Source organism: Homo sapiens, chromosome 11 (assembly GCF_000001405.40).
Source record: "Homo sapiens chromosome 11, GRCh38.p14 Primary Assembly".
NCBI lineage: Eukaryota > Metazoa > Chordata > Mammalia > Primates > Hominidae > Homo > Homo sapiens.
The window spans coordinates 50,169,889-50,186,528 of record NC_000011.10 but is presented as its reverse complement, the minus strand read 5'-3'; the positions used below and the strand labels follow the sequence as shown (position 1 = coordinate 50,186,528).

Below are 16,640 nucleotides of genomic sequence, written 5' to 3'. Positions count from 1 at the left end.
AAATTACAGTTTAGGGGTCATGCAGCCTCTGGCTGTAAGAGTCTCAACCTCCTCAAATTCCTCATGGGGATAACATTACTGCTGTAAAACCTAAGATTAGCCCTTGAGATATTTTGCAGACTCCGTACTTGATGGATCAGCTAACACCACCCAGGCCAGTAATCTGGCTCAACCAGTTCTGCCATGCCACCCAGGAAGAGAAAACAGCAAGAAAAACTCACTTTGACCCTCTATGACTCCATCTCCAACTTGACCAGTCAGCAGTCCCCACTTCCCAAGCCCCTACCTGCCAAATTATCTTAAAAACTCTGATCCCCAAATACTGGGGGAGACAAAGTTGAGTAATAATAAAATTCTGGTCTCCTGCACAGCTGGCTCTGTGTGAATTACTCCTTCTCCATTTCAATTCCCCCCATCTTGATAAATCGGCTCTGTCTAGGCAGTGGGCAAGGTGAACCCATTGGGCAGTTACATGTATAGATAAGATTCCGTACTGCTTACAGGGTGTTAGACAAGAGACACACAAATAAATAATTTAGGACAGTGATGATAGCTATATAGAAAATAAAACATTGGAAGAGATAGAGAATGACTAGGAAAAGTGGTAAGCAACATTAAGTAGAGTAGTCACAATCTCTTGGTTTGCCGAGATCTGAATAATGAGAAAAAGCCAGGCAAGTGGAGATTCAGGAAAATATGTTCAAGCAGAAGGAACCATAAGTGCAAAGTCCCTAAGATGAAAAAGAACCTGATGTGGTTGAAGAATTGAAAGGTGTCCAGTGTGGCTAAAGAACACTGAACCAGAGGGACTGGAGCCAGAGATGAGTTTGACATGAGGTCGGCAGAGGCCAGATCAGGAAAATATCAGCAATCATGAGAAGAGCATGCATTTTATTTTGGTTCAAGGATTTATTACAGTCAAAGATTTGACTGCCGTTGGCCAAATATGGGAGTATTGGAACATCAAAATAAACAATGGGATTACAACTCATTGAATAAATTAATAATCTTTGAGTCCTTACTCTGATTTTTTAAATGAAGAAATAAATGGGTGAGAAGGGAAATTTCTTCCTTCCAGTAGATTGTCTACTAATAATATTTGAAGAAAAAATTGATATTTAAAAAATCATCAGTGGATGCCAAAACAAGGGGATGAAACTTTGGTAAGGAAGGGATATTTGCAAGGTTTCAAAAACAACTCCCTGAAAGTTACCTAAAGAGAAACATCGTAACTTTACAATGGAGACACTTGTTGGACACTACCTTAAGCAAGCTATCAAAGCAAGCATCACTAACAATAGTTCAAATCAGCACAGTGTGTCTCTAATGTGATTTCCTGAGAGAGACACATCACTTCTGTGATAGTCCTGACAGCAACAACAACAACAACAAAAAGCTTAACTTGCATTTTTAAATCATGAGGAAAATCAGACAAATTAAAACTGAGGGACATTCTCAAAATAGCTTGCCTGTATTCTTCAAAAAATATTAACTTTAGAAAGACGAAGAAGGACTAAAGGACTGGTTTCAGTTTAAAAGAGTCTAAAAGTGCATGACGCTAAATTCCAGACTGGGTACTGGACTGGGAAAAAAAAATCATTCAAAAAGACATCATTAGGTTAGTTGATAAAATTCTGTTACAGACTGTGAATTGGATAATTGTATCAATGTTAAATTTCATGATTTTGATGACCGTACTATGGTTATTTTAGAGAATGACCCCATACTTAAGAAATATGCTCTTATGTTAACGGGTAAAGGGAGAGGATGTTTCCATGTGCTCTGGAAAGGAAGGGGAAGGGGTACAGGCTAAAATGTAAACAACTGGTTTATCTAGTTTAAGTATTTCTAGGAATTCCTAGTGTGTCTGGAATTGGTGGGTTCTTGGTCTCACTTACATCAAGAATGAAGCCGGTGACACTTGCGGTGAGTGTTACAGCTCTTAAGGTGGCGCCTCTGGAGTTTGTTCCTTCTGATGTTCGGATGTGTTCGGAGTTTCTTCCTTCCGGTGGGTTCGTGGTCTCCCTGGCTCAGGAGTGAAGCTGCAGACCTTCATGGTGAGTGTTACAGCTCTTAAGGAGGCGCGTCTGGAGTTGTTCTTCCTCCCAGTGGGCTCCTGGTCTCGCTGGCTTAAGGAGTGAAGCTGCAAACCTTCGCGGTAAGTGTTACAGCTCGTAAAAGCAGTGTGGACCCAAAGAGTGAGCAGCAGCAAGATTTATTGCAAAGAGCAAAAAAGAACAAAGCTTCCACAGTGTGGAAGGGGATGCCAGCGGCTTGGCACTGCTGGCTGGGGCAGTCTGCTTTTATTCTCTTATCTGGCCCCACCCACATCCTGCTGATTGGTACAGCCCAGTGGTCTGTTTTGACAGGGTGCTGATTGGTGCGTTTACAATCCCTGAGCTAGACACAAAGGTTCTCCAAGTCCCCACTAGATTAGCTAGATACAGAGTGTCTCCAAGTCCCCACCAGAGTAGCCAGATACAGTGTCGATTGGTGCATTCACAAACCCTGAGCTACACACAGGGTGCTGATTGGTGTGTTTACAAACCTTGAGCTAGATACAGAGTGCCAATTGGTGTATTTACAATCCCTGAGCTAGACATAAAGGTTCTCCAAGGCCCCACCAGAGTAGCTAGATACAGAGTGTCCATTGGTGCATTCACAAACCCTGAGCTAGACACAGGATGCTGATTGGTGTGTTTACAAACCTTGAGCTAGATACAGAATGCCGATTGGTGTATTTACAATCCCTGAGCTAGACATAAAGGTTCTCCACATCCTCACCAGACTCAGGAGCCCAGCTGGCTTCACCCAGTGGATCCCGCCCTGGGGCTGCAGGTGGAGCTGCCTGCCAGTCCAGCGCAGTGTGCCCGCACTCCTCAGCCCTTGGGTGGTCGATGGGACTGGGTGCCATGGAGCAGGGTGCAGCGCTCGTTGGGGAGGCTTGGGCCCCACAGGAGCCCACGGAGTGGGTGGGGAGGCTTAGGCATGGTGGGCTGCAGGTCCGGAGCCCTGCCCCGTGGGAAGGCAGCTAAGGCCCGGCGAGAAATCAAGTGCAGTGCCAGTGGGCCGGCACTGCTGGTGGACCCTGTACACCCTCTGCAGCCGCTGGCCTGGGTGCTAAGCCCCTCATTGCCCAGGGCCGGCAGGGCCGGCTGGCTGCTCCGAGTGTGGGGCCCACCAAGCCCATGCCCACCCGGAACTCCAGCTGGCCCGCAAGCGTGGCACGCAGCCCCGGTTCCCGCTTGCTCCTCTCCCTACACACCTCCCTGCAAGCTGAGGGAGCCGGCTCCGGCCTTGGCCAGCCCAGAAAGGGGCTCCCACAGTACAGCGGTGGGCTGAAGGGCTCCTCATGTGCCTCCAAAGTGGGAGCCCAGGCAGAGGAGGTGTGGAGAGCCAGCGAGGGCTGTGAGGACTGCCAGCACGCTGTCACCTCTCACTAGTACCATTCTTATAACTCTCCTATGAGTTTGAAATTATGTCACAATAAAGTTACCCAAGAAAAGCCTCAGTTAAGAATTCATTCTGCAGTAGAACATTCACTGATTAGTTTTGTGACATTAACACTTTAGTCAATTGAAGCTTCTAAACATCTTGCAGATTGTAGTTAATGGTAAATATATCAGACTCTAAAAAAGTCTGTACACTTTCCCAGAGTATGAAAGTTTTATAATAAGTTCCATCAAGCTCCAACCCCATGTTTAGTCAGCTGCCTTTTTCTTCTGAATTCTTCTGGCTTCTGATGTTTTCCAGAGGCAGAGGAAAAGGAAAAGTCACTCACCAGAAGAAGGTCTCAGCTGAGTCACAACTCAGAAATAGGCCAGCTAACTAATTTGAGAAGATGAGTGCGCATGCATGCGCACCACACACATCTTCATGTGTGGGAGGTGTGAGGAAGGAGGGAGTGGAATCACACTTTCCTAAGCTATAGCCATGAGAATGTTTTCAAATATTCTATTTTACTCTTGGCTGGATGCTAGAAAATACATATATGTATAAAATCCTAAGAACCCAGGAAAGAAAAGATTTTTCAATCCTTTTCTCACCTTCTCTCTTTAAAAGACATTCTGCTTGATTGTAGGCAAAAACTACCTTCCTAAATTAGTGTATTCCTGAGCTTGCCAATGGACATGGAACAGAACAGTGTGGGAGATTTCTCCGTGGAGTGTGTTTGGTCCAGCTCTGTGGTCCTCTCAGCAAATGTCAATCACAGCAAGTCTAACTCAATCACAGTGACCCAGATATAGATACAGTGATATTCATCAATCAGAAGAGCTATATAATGTTTATTTTCTTTTTCTTTTTTTAAAGTTCAGAACCAATATGATTTTATGGGGAAAACCCTTTCCTAAGAGCAAAAATTCTTACATCCTAATCCTACTTCAGCCACTTAAGTGTGATCTTGACCAAGTCACAAAACCTAAGACTTTTAGTGTCCTCATCTGTAAAACCTGGTCACGAGAGCATGCATGGCTTCTTCACAGCATTATGGGGAAGTGAGCAGGGGTAGATTACATGTAGTAATACATTTGAAACCTCCTTAAAATTTACATAATCCAGTTAGGATATACATCATTCTACATCTTATAAATCTAGAATGCTAACTGTGCTTTCTGGCATAGCACTTTCACAATCTGAAATATTTCAAATTCTTTCATTTGACTGCAACATATACTGGAACAAAATTACTTGGTGTATATACACTATGGGCAATATAAGCATTTTTAAAATGGTAGCCTGTTCTTTTTCTCATGAACTTCAGAATAACTCAAAAGCTGCTTTTATATATCCTGAATTCCATCAGTCGGCCCTAAACTTTCTAAGTGTATGCAAAGTTGAAAATAAGGAGTAAGAGATAACAATACAAAACAATTCTAGATCACAACTTCTTTGGGAAGGTTTTATTCAGTGATTAAAATCAGATGACTTGCATTGCAAATTAAGAGAAAAAGGCTGACTAATAGTACCACATGTTCAGGAGTGACTCGTGGGTATGTCCTGAATAATTATCACACCAGGCAAATGTGTTGGAGTAAACCACTTTCCCACAAGGGCCTCCCTATGCCACATTAATAGGTCACTTACTAGACTTAGCACAATAAAATGATAGTCTATGCAATTTAGTCATTTCCAAAAGGGAAGAGCATTTCTCTGGCACCTGAGTGGATCAGATCAAGGTGACTTTAGAGAAAACTGAAGGAGAAGGGGCGATGGCACAAGCTATGGTTTGGATCACTCTGAATCGACTCAAAAAAAAAAAAAGGTACCTAATTATCTCATAAATCTTTTGGTACACTGTTTCCAGTGAAGACTCTGACTGTGTTGAGCAAATAAGTTGAACCAGCAAAATAAACAGCAAGTTTTGGATGAAATCCTTAAATATAGAGCTTCTGATTCAGGACAGGTAGTCACATTTGCTAGGGGTCTATATAGACTAAATGAAGTGTTCCAGAATTACATAGGGGAGATTGGTAAAAAACAACCCCTCTAGATTGTTAAGACCTCTATGTATTTTTATGGTGGTTTGAATGAATCAGTTAGTTATTTAACTTTATTTACCAATTGCGGTTTTTCTTTGTAGAAGATATTCAAGGTCAGGTAAAATTTCTTTTTGTTTCCTTGCTTCCAAAAAAAAAGAAATTTACTTAGCCTCCTGCATCAAGTAAACAAGACCAAAAAGAAAATGTATTCTTTTACTCATTTATTTATTTTTTATTATTATACTTTAAGTTTTAGGGTACATGTGCACATTGTGCAGGTTAGTTACATATGTATACATGTGCCATGCTGGTGCGCTGCACCCACTATCTCGTCATCTAGCATTAGGTATATCTACCAATGGTATCCCTCCCCCCTCCCCCCACCCCACAACAGTCCCCAGAGTGTGATATTCCCCTTCCTGTGTCCATGTGATCTCATTGTTCAATTCCCACCTATGAGTGAGAATATGCGGTGTTTGGTTTTTTGTTCTTGCGATAGTTTACTGAGAATGATGATTTCCAATTTCATCCATGTCCCTAAAAAGGACATGAACTCACCATTTTTATGGCTGCATAGTATTCCATGGTGTATATGTGCCACATTTTCTTAATCCAGTCTATCATTGTTGGACATTTGGGTTGGTTCCAAGTCTTTGCTATTGTGAATAATGCCACAATAAACATAAGTGTGCATGTGTCTTTATAGCAGCATGATTTATAGTCCTTTGGGTATATACCCAGTAATGGGATGGCTGGGTCAAATGGTATTTCTAGTTCTAGATCCCTGAGGAATCGCCACACTGACTTCCACAATGGTTGAACTAGTTTACAGTCCCACCAACAGTGTAAAAGTGTTCCTATTTCTCCACATCCTCTCCAGCACCTGTTGTTTCCTGACTTTTTAATGATTGCCATTCTAACTGGTGTGAGATGGTATCTCATTGTGGTTTTGATTTGCATTTCTCTGATGGCCAGTGATGATGAGCATTTTTTCATGAGTTTTTTAGCTGCATAAATGTCTTCTTTTGAGAAGTGTCTGTTCATGTCCTTTGCCCACTTTTTGATGGGGTTGTTTGATTTTTTCTTGTAAATTTGTTTGAGTTCATTGTAGATTCTGGATATTAGCCCTTTGTCAGATGAGTAGGTTGCAAAATTTTTCTCCCATTTCGTAGGTTGTCTGTTCACTCTGATGGTAGTTTCTTTTGCTGTGCAGAAGCTCCTTAGTTTAATTAGATCCCATTTGTCAATTTTGTCTTTTGTTGCCATTGCTTTTGGTGTTTTAGACATGAAGTACTTGCCCATGCCTATGTCCTGAATGGTAATGCCTAGGTTTTCTTCTAGGGTTTTTATGGTTTTAGGTCTAACGTTTGACAAATCTGAGAAAAACAAGCAATGGGGAAAGGATTCCCTATTTAATAAATGGTGCTGGGAAAACTGGTTAGCCATATGTAGAAAGCTGAAACTGGATCCCTTCCTTACACCTATACAAAAATCAATTAAAGATGGATTAAAGTCTTTTTTTGTTTTTGAAATGGAGTCTCACTCTGTCACCCAGGCTAGAGTGCAGTGGAACAATGTTGCCTCACTGCAACCTCCACCTCCTGGGTTCAAGTGATTCTCCCACCTCTGCCTCCAGAGTAGCTGGGATTACAGGCATGTGCCACTACCCCCAGCTAATTTTTGTATTTTTAGTAGAGATGGGGTTTCACCATGTTGGCCAGGCTGGTCTCGAACTCCTGACCTCAGGTGATCCGCCTGCCTTGGCCACTCAAAGTGCTGGGATTACAGGCATAAGCCACCTTGCCCAACCGAAAATCTATTCTTTATTGACATTTTTATTGACAGTGGGATAATATCTCAGCATACCAATCTAAGAATATAATGAATAAACAGACATACAACAAAAATTTCAAGATCAAAACTACATTTGCTTGAGTATAAATACACATCCATGCACATAAAAATACATTACACACACACACACACACACACAAACACACACACACTCTTAATGATGATTGTCTCACTGATGTCTCCACTCAACTTCTAAATCTTTATTACAAGCTCTAACCTGTGCTTCAGACTTACTTATGCAAGTGCCTACTAGTCATCTCTTCCTAGATGTCTGACAAGCCATCAAAACATCTGACACTGAACTTATGACCCTCCCTTCTAACCTGGCCACTTCCCTCCTATTTCCAATATCAACTGAAGTGAAGGCTAGCTGGTGTATCCTAGATGCATAACATTAACTCACTCTTCCTCATAGTCAATCAGTTGGCAAATCTTTACTTTACCTCCAAACTATTTTCTCCATTGTGCCATCTCTTCTCTATCCTGAAATCACTTTTCCTATCTGATCTTTATCTTCTCTTTCCTGGCTTGTTGCAATAGCTTTCATATACCCAAGTGTATAGTTAACTCTTTCTTTCACCATCTGTATACAAAAAGTCACCAGGTAATTTCTCCTTCATAATGCCTATCATGGCTATTTTTCCTTTTCCTCCATATGGGTTTTCCTCAGTGATACCTAGCTAGCCTTTTCATATAAACTTCCCCTACAAACTAATTTTCTTGTCCCCACTATGCTTTTCTAACTTGGTGCCTTTCCTTTTTGCCTGCTTTTACTTCCCCATTTGTCTCTGCTGCTGAACTCCCACCATAACATCAAAATTCAGCTTAAATCCTACTAGTGCTACAAAGAACACCTTGGAAGCCCAAACTAGAGATGATCTCTTTAAAATTCCGGTTGTACTTCCGGTCAATTCCACTGTTTCTTTGCCTTTAAACTATGGAGATTGCATTCCTAAATACAAATATATATATATTTATATATGTATTTTTATATATAATATATTAAATATATTATATATATAATTATATATATAATTAATATATTTTATATATATTATATATGTAATATATATTATATGTATATGTATGTATACATATACATATATGTATATGTATATATGTATATATATAATATATATAATACATATTTTATATTATATATAATATATGTAATATATATTTTATATTATATAATATATGTAATATATATTTTATATTACATATATGTAATATATAATATATATAATATATATTTTATATAATATATAATATATGCAATATATTGTATATTATATATAATATATCTAATATATATATTAGATATATTATATATAATATAAAATATATCCTTTATATTATATATTATATATAATATATATTATATATAATATATTTTATATAATATATAATATATAATATATATAATATATATTTTATATTATATATAATATATATAATATATATTTTATATATAATATATATATTATATATATTATTAATATATTATATATTGTAAATTATATATAATATATATTATATATTTTATATATATTATACGTTATATGTAATATATAATATATATTATATATTATACGTTATATGTAATATATGATATACATTATATATTATACGTTATATATAACGTATAATATATGATATATATTATATATAACGTATATAACGTATAATATATATTATATATAACGTGTAATATATGATATATTACATATAACATATATGATATATATGATATATATTATATATAACGTATAATATATGATATATATGATATATATTATATATAACGTATAATATATGATATATATGATATATATTATATAGAACGTATAATATATGATATATATGATATATATTATATAGAACGTATAATATATGATATATGTTATATATAACGTATAATATATGATATATATTATATATAACGTATAATATATGATATATATTATATATAACGTACAATATATGATATATATTATATATAACGTACAATATATGATTTATATTATATATAACGTATAATATATGATATATATTATATATAACGTACAATATATGATATATATTATATATAACGTATAATACATGATATATATTATATATAACGTACAATATGATATATATTATATATAACTTATAATACATGATATATAATATATAACGTATAATACATGATATATATTATATATAACGTATAATACATGATATATATTATATATAACGTATAATACATGATATATATTATATATAATGTATAATATATGATATATTATATATAATGCATAATAATATGTAATATATGAATATATATGATATATTAATATATTAGTAATATATAATATATCAATACTATATATTATATATTATTAATATATAGTATATATTAATATCATATATTACATATCAATACTTTATATTATATATTAATACTATATATTACATATCAATACTTTATATTATATATTAATAATATATATTATATATTAATACTATATATTATGTATTATTAATATATAGTATATATTAATACTATATATTATATATCAATACTATATGTTATATATTAATAAGATATATTATATATCAATACTTTATATTATATATTAATAATATATATTATATATTAATAATATATATTATATATGAATAATATATATTATATATTAGTACTATATATTATATATTAATAATATATTATATATTAATACTATATATTATATAATAATATATTATATATTAATAATATATATTATATAATAATATATTATATATTATTAATATATATTATATATTAATAATATGTTATATATTATGAATATATATTATATATTATTAATATACTATATATTCATAATATATTATATATTAATATATTATGTATTAATAATATATATTATATATTAATACTATATATTATATATTAATAATATATATTATATATTAATACTATATATTATATATTAATAATATATATTATATATTAATACTATTATATATTAATACTATATATTATATATTAATACTATTATATATTAATAATATATATTATATATTAATACTATCTATTATATATTAATACTATTATATATTAATACTATCTATTATGTATTAATACTATCTATTATATATTGATAGTATATATAATTATACATAATATATTTATTATATATTATATATTATATACATTATATATTATATATATTATATAATATATATAGTATATAATATATTTATTATATAATATATGTAATATATAAACTATTATATACAATATATATTATATACAATACATAATAAATATATATTATATGTAAAAATATACTATATATATTATATATAACATATATTTTATATATATACACATACACACACACATACACATATAAACTCTTCCCTTCCACAGGGTAGGGAGAAAAGGAAACTTTCACCCTAAGTGGGATTGTAGAGATGTTATTGGTGGAAGTTAGCCTCGTTTATGGGAAAGGAGCTGTGGTAATGCAATGTGTCCCAGCATTTGCCAGAGGATACTAATCATGTGAGAGCTTATATGAAAATATTTCAATATATTCAATTTAACAATATTTCAGTGCTCACTGTGTGCCAAACAGTAAATGAGAGACATATATCCCTACTCTTAGGAACCCCACAGAAGAATCCATAGTCACAGATACTTGGGAAACTACATAGTGGACATTATCATATAAAAGCCTCTGTAAACCCTGTAATCCCAGCAACTCAGAAAGCTGAGGTGGTTGGATCACTTGAACTCATGAACTCATGAGTTTGAGCCAGGAGTTCTATCCCAGCCTGGACTTCATCTCTTAAAAAAAAAGTCTCTAAAAACTTCCATAATTAAAAAACAAAATCCAAAACAGATCATTTTGTATTTGGTATTATTGCATAAAGTGATTTAGCCACAGAATCTCTCCCCTGCCATTTTTCTGGTAATATCTACTAAGATCCCCACGCAACTAGAATTCTGCAGTACATACTTTGGGAAATGCTAAGTAAGCATAATTCAAATGCTGACAAGGAAAAGCCAAATCTTGGAGAGAAGAAAACATATACTTTGGAGTTTGAGTAGAGGGAAATTCTTTTAGGGAAGGGAACAGCTGGAAATCCTGCATAATACAGTGAGAAAATGGGAAGAAGGAGGGTGTGGTCAGAGAAACATTCCAAAGACTCCAATCCTTCCAAATGATTTTCCTCAGACCCTAACGAATAGACTAGAGTAGGAAGAGGTAGATCAATAAAGGAAAAGTGACTGGATGTTTCTCAAACTTTCTCCTCCCATACCCCACTACAAATCTGTCCCTAGAAAGACAATGTGGAATTCTAAATTGTGTCCCCTTTCTTCCCCATATCTCAATCTTGAGAGAAAGCATCTTTGGTAGCTGTGAAGTTTGTGAAGCTCAAAGTCCTGATTGTATTTACAGAAATTAAGTAATTTTGGTTACTACTGAGTGCAATCCTGTTTCGTTTGCATTGTGGTTGTCACATTAATATCCCTAAATGGTAATACTCAATCTGGAGTTACATTTTACGTTAAGGTCAAAAATATAATTTTGACTCTGTACTACTACGATGACATCTTAAATGATACAAACATCATATATGATGAAGCTCACTCTGTAGTATGAAAGAATGGCTCTGCCCCAGTGAACTCCCTCTGGTGGCTCTTACATAAAGCCTGTGGATCATAACTCCTACAGGCTGCATTGCCAAAATATTACTCACAGGCTTGAAAAAAAAGCATGATGCACTTTTCCCATAATGCTTGAAATATTTCAGACAAGGAAAACATAAAGTATTCCACTTAGCCTAAATGAGGTTATTGAGATGATGCCAGATCTGTTCCAAAACCACATGTGTGCAGTACAGAACTGGTAGCATCTTGTGTAATGTGAGAGCTTAAACTGCTCCCAGTGAAACATACAAACTTGGGAACAGCAATTCTCAGTGAGAACTGAACTAAGCATCAGCCTTCATCACTGATTTTGCCGTCATTTCATATTCTCCAATGAAAATTAAATCAACTGAGCTTCAGAAGGGCAGCTCTCTGGTATATATTTTATGGCAAAATTAACTGGTACAGTAAAATGACTCAAAGAGTGAGAGTATTTGTGTACATAATGCTTTATTAGACTTACGAAGTACATAATAAAAACTTATTAATGGAAACTACATAGTTCCAATTTTTAGCCTTCCTAATATGTGTAAAATTTTATTTCATTTATTTTATAAATATTTTGATGATTTTACTCACATAAAATGTCTCTTGTATTTATGACCTAAGAAGCAGTTTTAAAGTTTTAGCAATAATGTTTTAAAAATCTTGACTCACTTTCACTTTAATGAATTTTTAGAATCTCTTTAAGGTGGATATTCTTCAGAATATTGCCCTTCCCTCAACCATTGGCAAATACTTTTAAAAAATCATTGTATTGTTAGGCTCAGAGACATAGGTGCTTTCATACATTGTGGGTGGAAACCGAGTTTGGGACTATTTTTTGAAAGTCAGTTTGGAGACACATACACATGCATACACATGTTCATGTATATATATGTTATATATGTATATGCATGTACATATATATACACAGACATACATGCATTTATACACAGGTAGTTTTGGCCCATCTTCTAGGAACTTTCTTAAAGAAATATTAGAAAATGTTCATAAATTGTTATTTACAAGGACAGTCAATATAAGCATGTGCCTTCTTCGAGATCCTTATAGGTGAAAAAATAGGAGCAACTTAAATACCCACATTTAATGGAAAAGTGAATCAACTACATTGTAGTCATGCAATGGCCTACCATGTATCCATCAAATCATTTGTGGAAGAACACCAAATGGCATATTAAAACATTGATGCTATATTGAAAAAGCATGTTACACAATAGTATGTATAATATAATTATGCCATAGCTATCTATGTCCAGAAAAGTACTAAAACAGTTTCTGCCTAAATGTTAACAATGGCTATACTTGGGTAAAGAATTTATGGATGAGTTTATTTTTTTCTTATCATTTTCTGTTTTCTGAGTTTTCTTCAATAAATGTATATTATTTATGTTATCAATAAACAAAATAACTATTACAATATCTTGGTATATTTGTACACTTTGACCCAGCAATTCCATTTTTAGGACTATATCCTAACCTAAGGAAATAAACAGATGTACACACAAAGAGATATTTAGAACTATGTTCTTTGGTGATTTGTTTATAATAATAAAATATTAGAAACAAATCAAATGCTCAACAATAGAACAATAGATTTGTTTTAAAAAATTACAATGTATTCAAACAATGAAATATTTCACATCCTTTTTTTTTGAGATGGAGTCTTGCTCTGTTGCCCAGGCTGGAGTGCAGTGGCATGATCTTGGCTCACTGCAAGCTCCGCCTCCTGGGTTCAAGCCATTCTCCTGCCTCATCCTCCCGAGTAGCTGGGACTACAGGCACCCGCCACCACGCCTGGCTAAATTTTTGTATTTTTTAGCAGAGACAGGGTTTCACCCTGTTAGCCAGGATGGTCTCGATCTCCCGACCTCGTGATCTGCCCGCCTCAGCCTCCCAAAGTGCTGGGATTACAGGCATTAGCCACTGTGCCCGGCCAGTATTTCACATTTTAAAATCAAATTCTTGGCTGTGTGCAGTGGCTCATGCCTATAATCCAAGCACTTTGAGAAGTGGAGGCAGGAGTATTGCTTGAGCCCAGGAGTTCAAGACCAGCCTGGGCAACACAGCAATACCCTGTCTCAATAAAAAACAAAAAACAGATTCTTGAAAACATGTAAGAATAAGGGGAACTTCTCAAGACATTAAGTAAAAAAGGCATATAGACAGATATAATTCAATTAAAGGTTTGATTGCCTGGAAAAACATTAGAGTATACATTAATATGCTAGCAAGGATTGCCACTGGGCAGTGAAATTACTTACAGATTATTTTGATTATCTTTTTTAAATAATTTTTATGCTTTCAATGATGTAATTTTTATGAACAGAAAAAAATATGTAAATGGTAAGAATGTTTTATTGCTAGCAATATTAAGATATAGGATCTATATAAGCATGACTCCTCCAGATATTTTCTTCAAACCAATCACTTCTACTCAATTTATCAGTTTACCACACAGGAATATAGGAAGATTTAAATGTTTTGTTTTAGTCCATGGGTCTGTCTGATAAACAATAGAAAGAATTTTGACCAAAAAATTTACTTGCTCTGTAAGATGCTTAAAACCACAGAAAAAAGGGATATTTGTGGCTGGACTGGCCCAAGACTCACATCTCTAAACTGTGACATGAAGCTTTATTAATCATTTACCTCTTCAGAATCTAAGTCAGCAAAGGTCAAAGCAGTCCAGAGACAACACAAGGTGTAGTGTAGCCTTCCTCCCTGATGCAAGGGCTACATCCACAGTGTGAAGGAAGGTTTTTGGAGTTCAGTGAGAGAGTTTATGCCTTTAGTATAGTTCTGGTAGTAGCCACTGATCGATACAAAGGCTAGATAAATATGTGGGTAAGTAGAATAAATATCTATCTAGATAGATAGATAGATATAGATATAGGTAACATGTAAACATCTCTGCTTGGAGGGCTGAGGGGGGAACAAATATTTGTATGTATTTAACTACTTAATATATCTTTTATGTTGTAAAAGTCTTAGTATTATGTTTGCATATTGCATGATGAGAAAAAAGCCCCCAAATTTATCTCTGCCACTGATGTGTGGACTCAATGAGTATTTCCTGAAAGCCTATGTGTAAAGCACGGTTCTGGCTATAGGAGACAAAAAAGACACAGTCCTGTCTTCCTTTCCAGATGAAGACACAAAGACAATTCTGTGGATCACATGTGATTTTTCAATGTCTCTCTTCTCCAAAAAAAGAGATACTGGACAAAAAAATGGACAAAATAATAACTGACATTTACTGATGTTTCATGTAAATTTAGTGTAATACCACTTTAAAAGCTCATATATATTGCTATATAGCCTGGGAATATCACTAGTGAAATTTACCAAAGGCAGTTTTTAAAACTGAGATATTTATGGAAATCTTCAAGATACGGTGCAGTATATTATGATTTCTCCTTGTGAAATAAAAGTCTTACACTGACTTTTGACTCCACGAAGCTCGTTCACTACTTTCAAATTTTATGACAGGGTTTGGAAATACAACAGGGCAACAATTTTGGCTTCCCAGATGGACAGCCAGAGTTGAAACCAAGAGCCAATCAAGATCAGACCAACAAAATAATTAAAAGTGGAGAGTGAAAAGGAAAGGAAAAGAAACAGAAAGCAGATATGTGAGCTTAAGGGAGGTAAAGCAAAAATTAATATTTACTTGACTTGTCCGTTCTCTGTGTAGGTGAACCCCAGGAGGGAGCTGTTCAGCCAGCCGGCGAACTCCATGGTCAGGAGATAGAGGCCATCTCCACTGCTCTTCCTCCGCCTCGACCACCACGTACTCCTGCTTTTTGTACTCAAAACACCTCCGGATTTGCACCTGGTCCCCCGAGGGCCTCTTCATCTCGGGGAGCCAGGTGATCCTGGTCTCCTGGAGGTGCAGCCACAGGTGCCGGGTGTCAGGGAGCCAGGTGATCCTGCTCTCCCCGAGGTGCAACCACAGGTGCCGGGTGGGCGTACTCAGGTTGATGGAGATGCTCACGGTGCCTGTGTAGGTGTCCTCCTCCAACAGGGGCTTCACGTGCAGGTCTTAGTGGACCGGGTTGACGAAGTTCAGCAGTCAAAAGTTTTTCCACTGTCCGCTCTCATCCTCACTGGACGGGCAGATGTCCTGGTCCTGGGCAGGAGGACCCGACGGGCTGGCCGTGGAAGAAGGCAGGTGGGAAGGAGCTGGCACAGTGCCCAGCCCGCCGTCCCCACTGGAGTCACACGATCTGGTCAAGCCCACGGCGAGTCCGGCTATTAATCCTACACCCACCACCATCGCACAGAGAATGGCCATGTTTCATTTGAATGTAGTATCTCTTAGAGCCCTCTCTCCGCAAAGTTCAGTTTTGCTTCCCAAGTCAAGTGTTACACATAAAAAGATGTTGAATTTGACTAAAGCCAGCAGACTTCTTTTTTAAATTGGAAGGAATCCCCTGATTTGGCAGCCTGTTTTCGCTTTTCCCACACCCGTCTCTGGCTTCTCGTGCCTTTTCCTGTCCTTTTTCACTTTGCCACCAGCCACTCAGGATGAATGCGGAAACAAGGGGGGTGGCTTGAGGACTCCGTAAGAGGAGCCAAGTGACAGGAAGAGGGCTGGC

The 16,640-nt window shown here is 35.7% G+C and overlaps 1 long non-coding RNA gene and 1 pseudogene across 1 annotated transcript in view; both read right to left on the bottom strand.

The window, feature by feature from the left end:
• LOC124902811 (uncharacterized) overlaps nt 1–2,279 on the bottom strand; it is a 25,053-nt gene extending 22,774 nt beyond the window's left edge. Inside the window, exon 1 of the long non-coding RNA XR_007062972.1 lies at nt 1,899–2,279. This is a non-coding gene — a long non-coding RNA (uncharacterized LOC124902811). The remainder of the gene's footprint in view (nt 1–1,898) is intronic.
• The window catches only part of ENPEPP1 (ENPEP pseudogene 1), a 20,546-nt pseudogene extending 3,906 nt beyond the window's left edge, over nt 1–16,640 (bottom strand).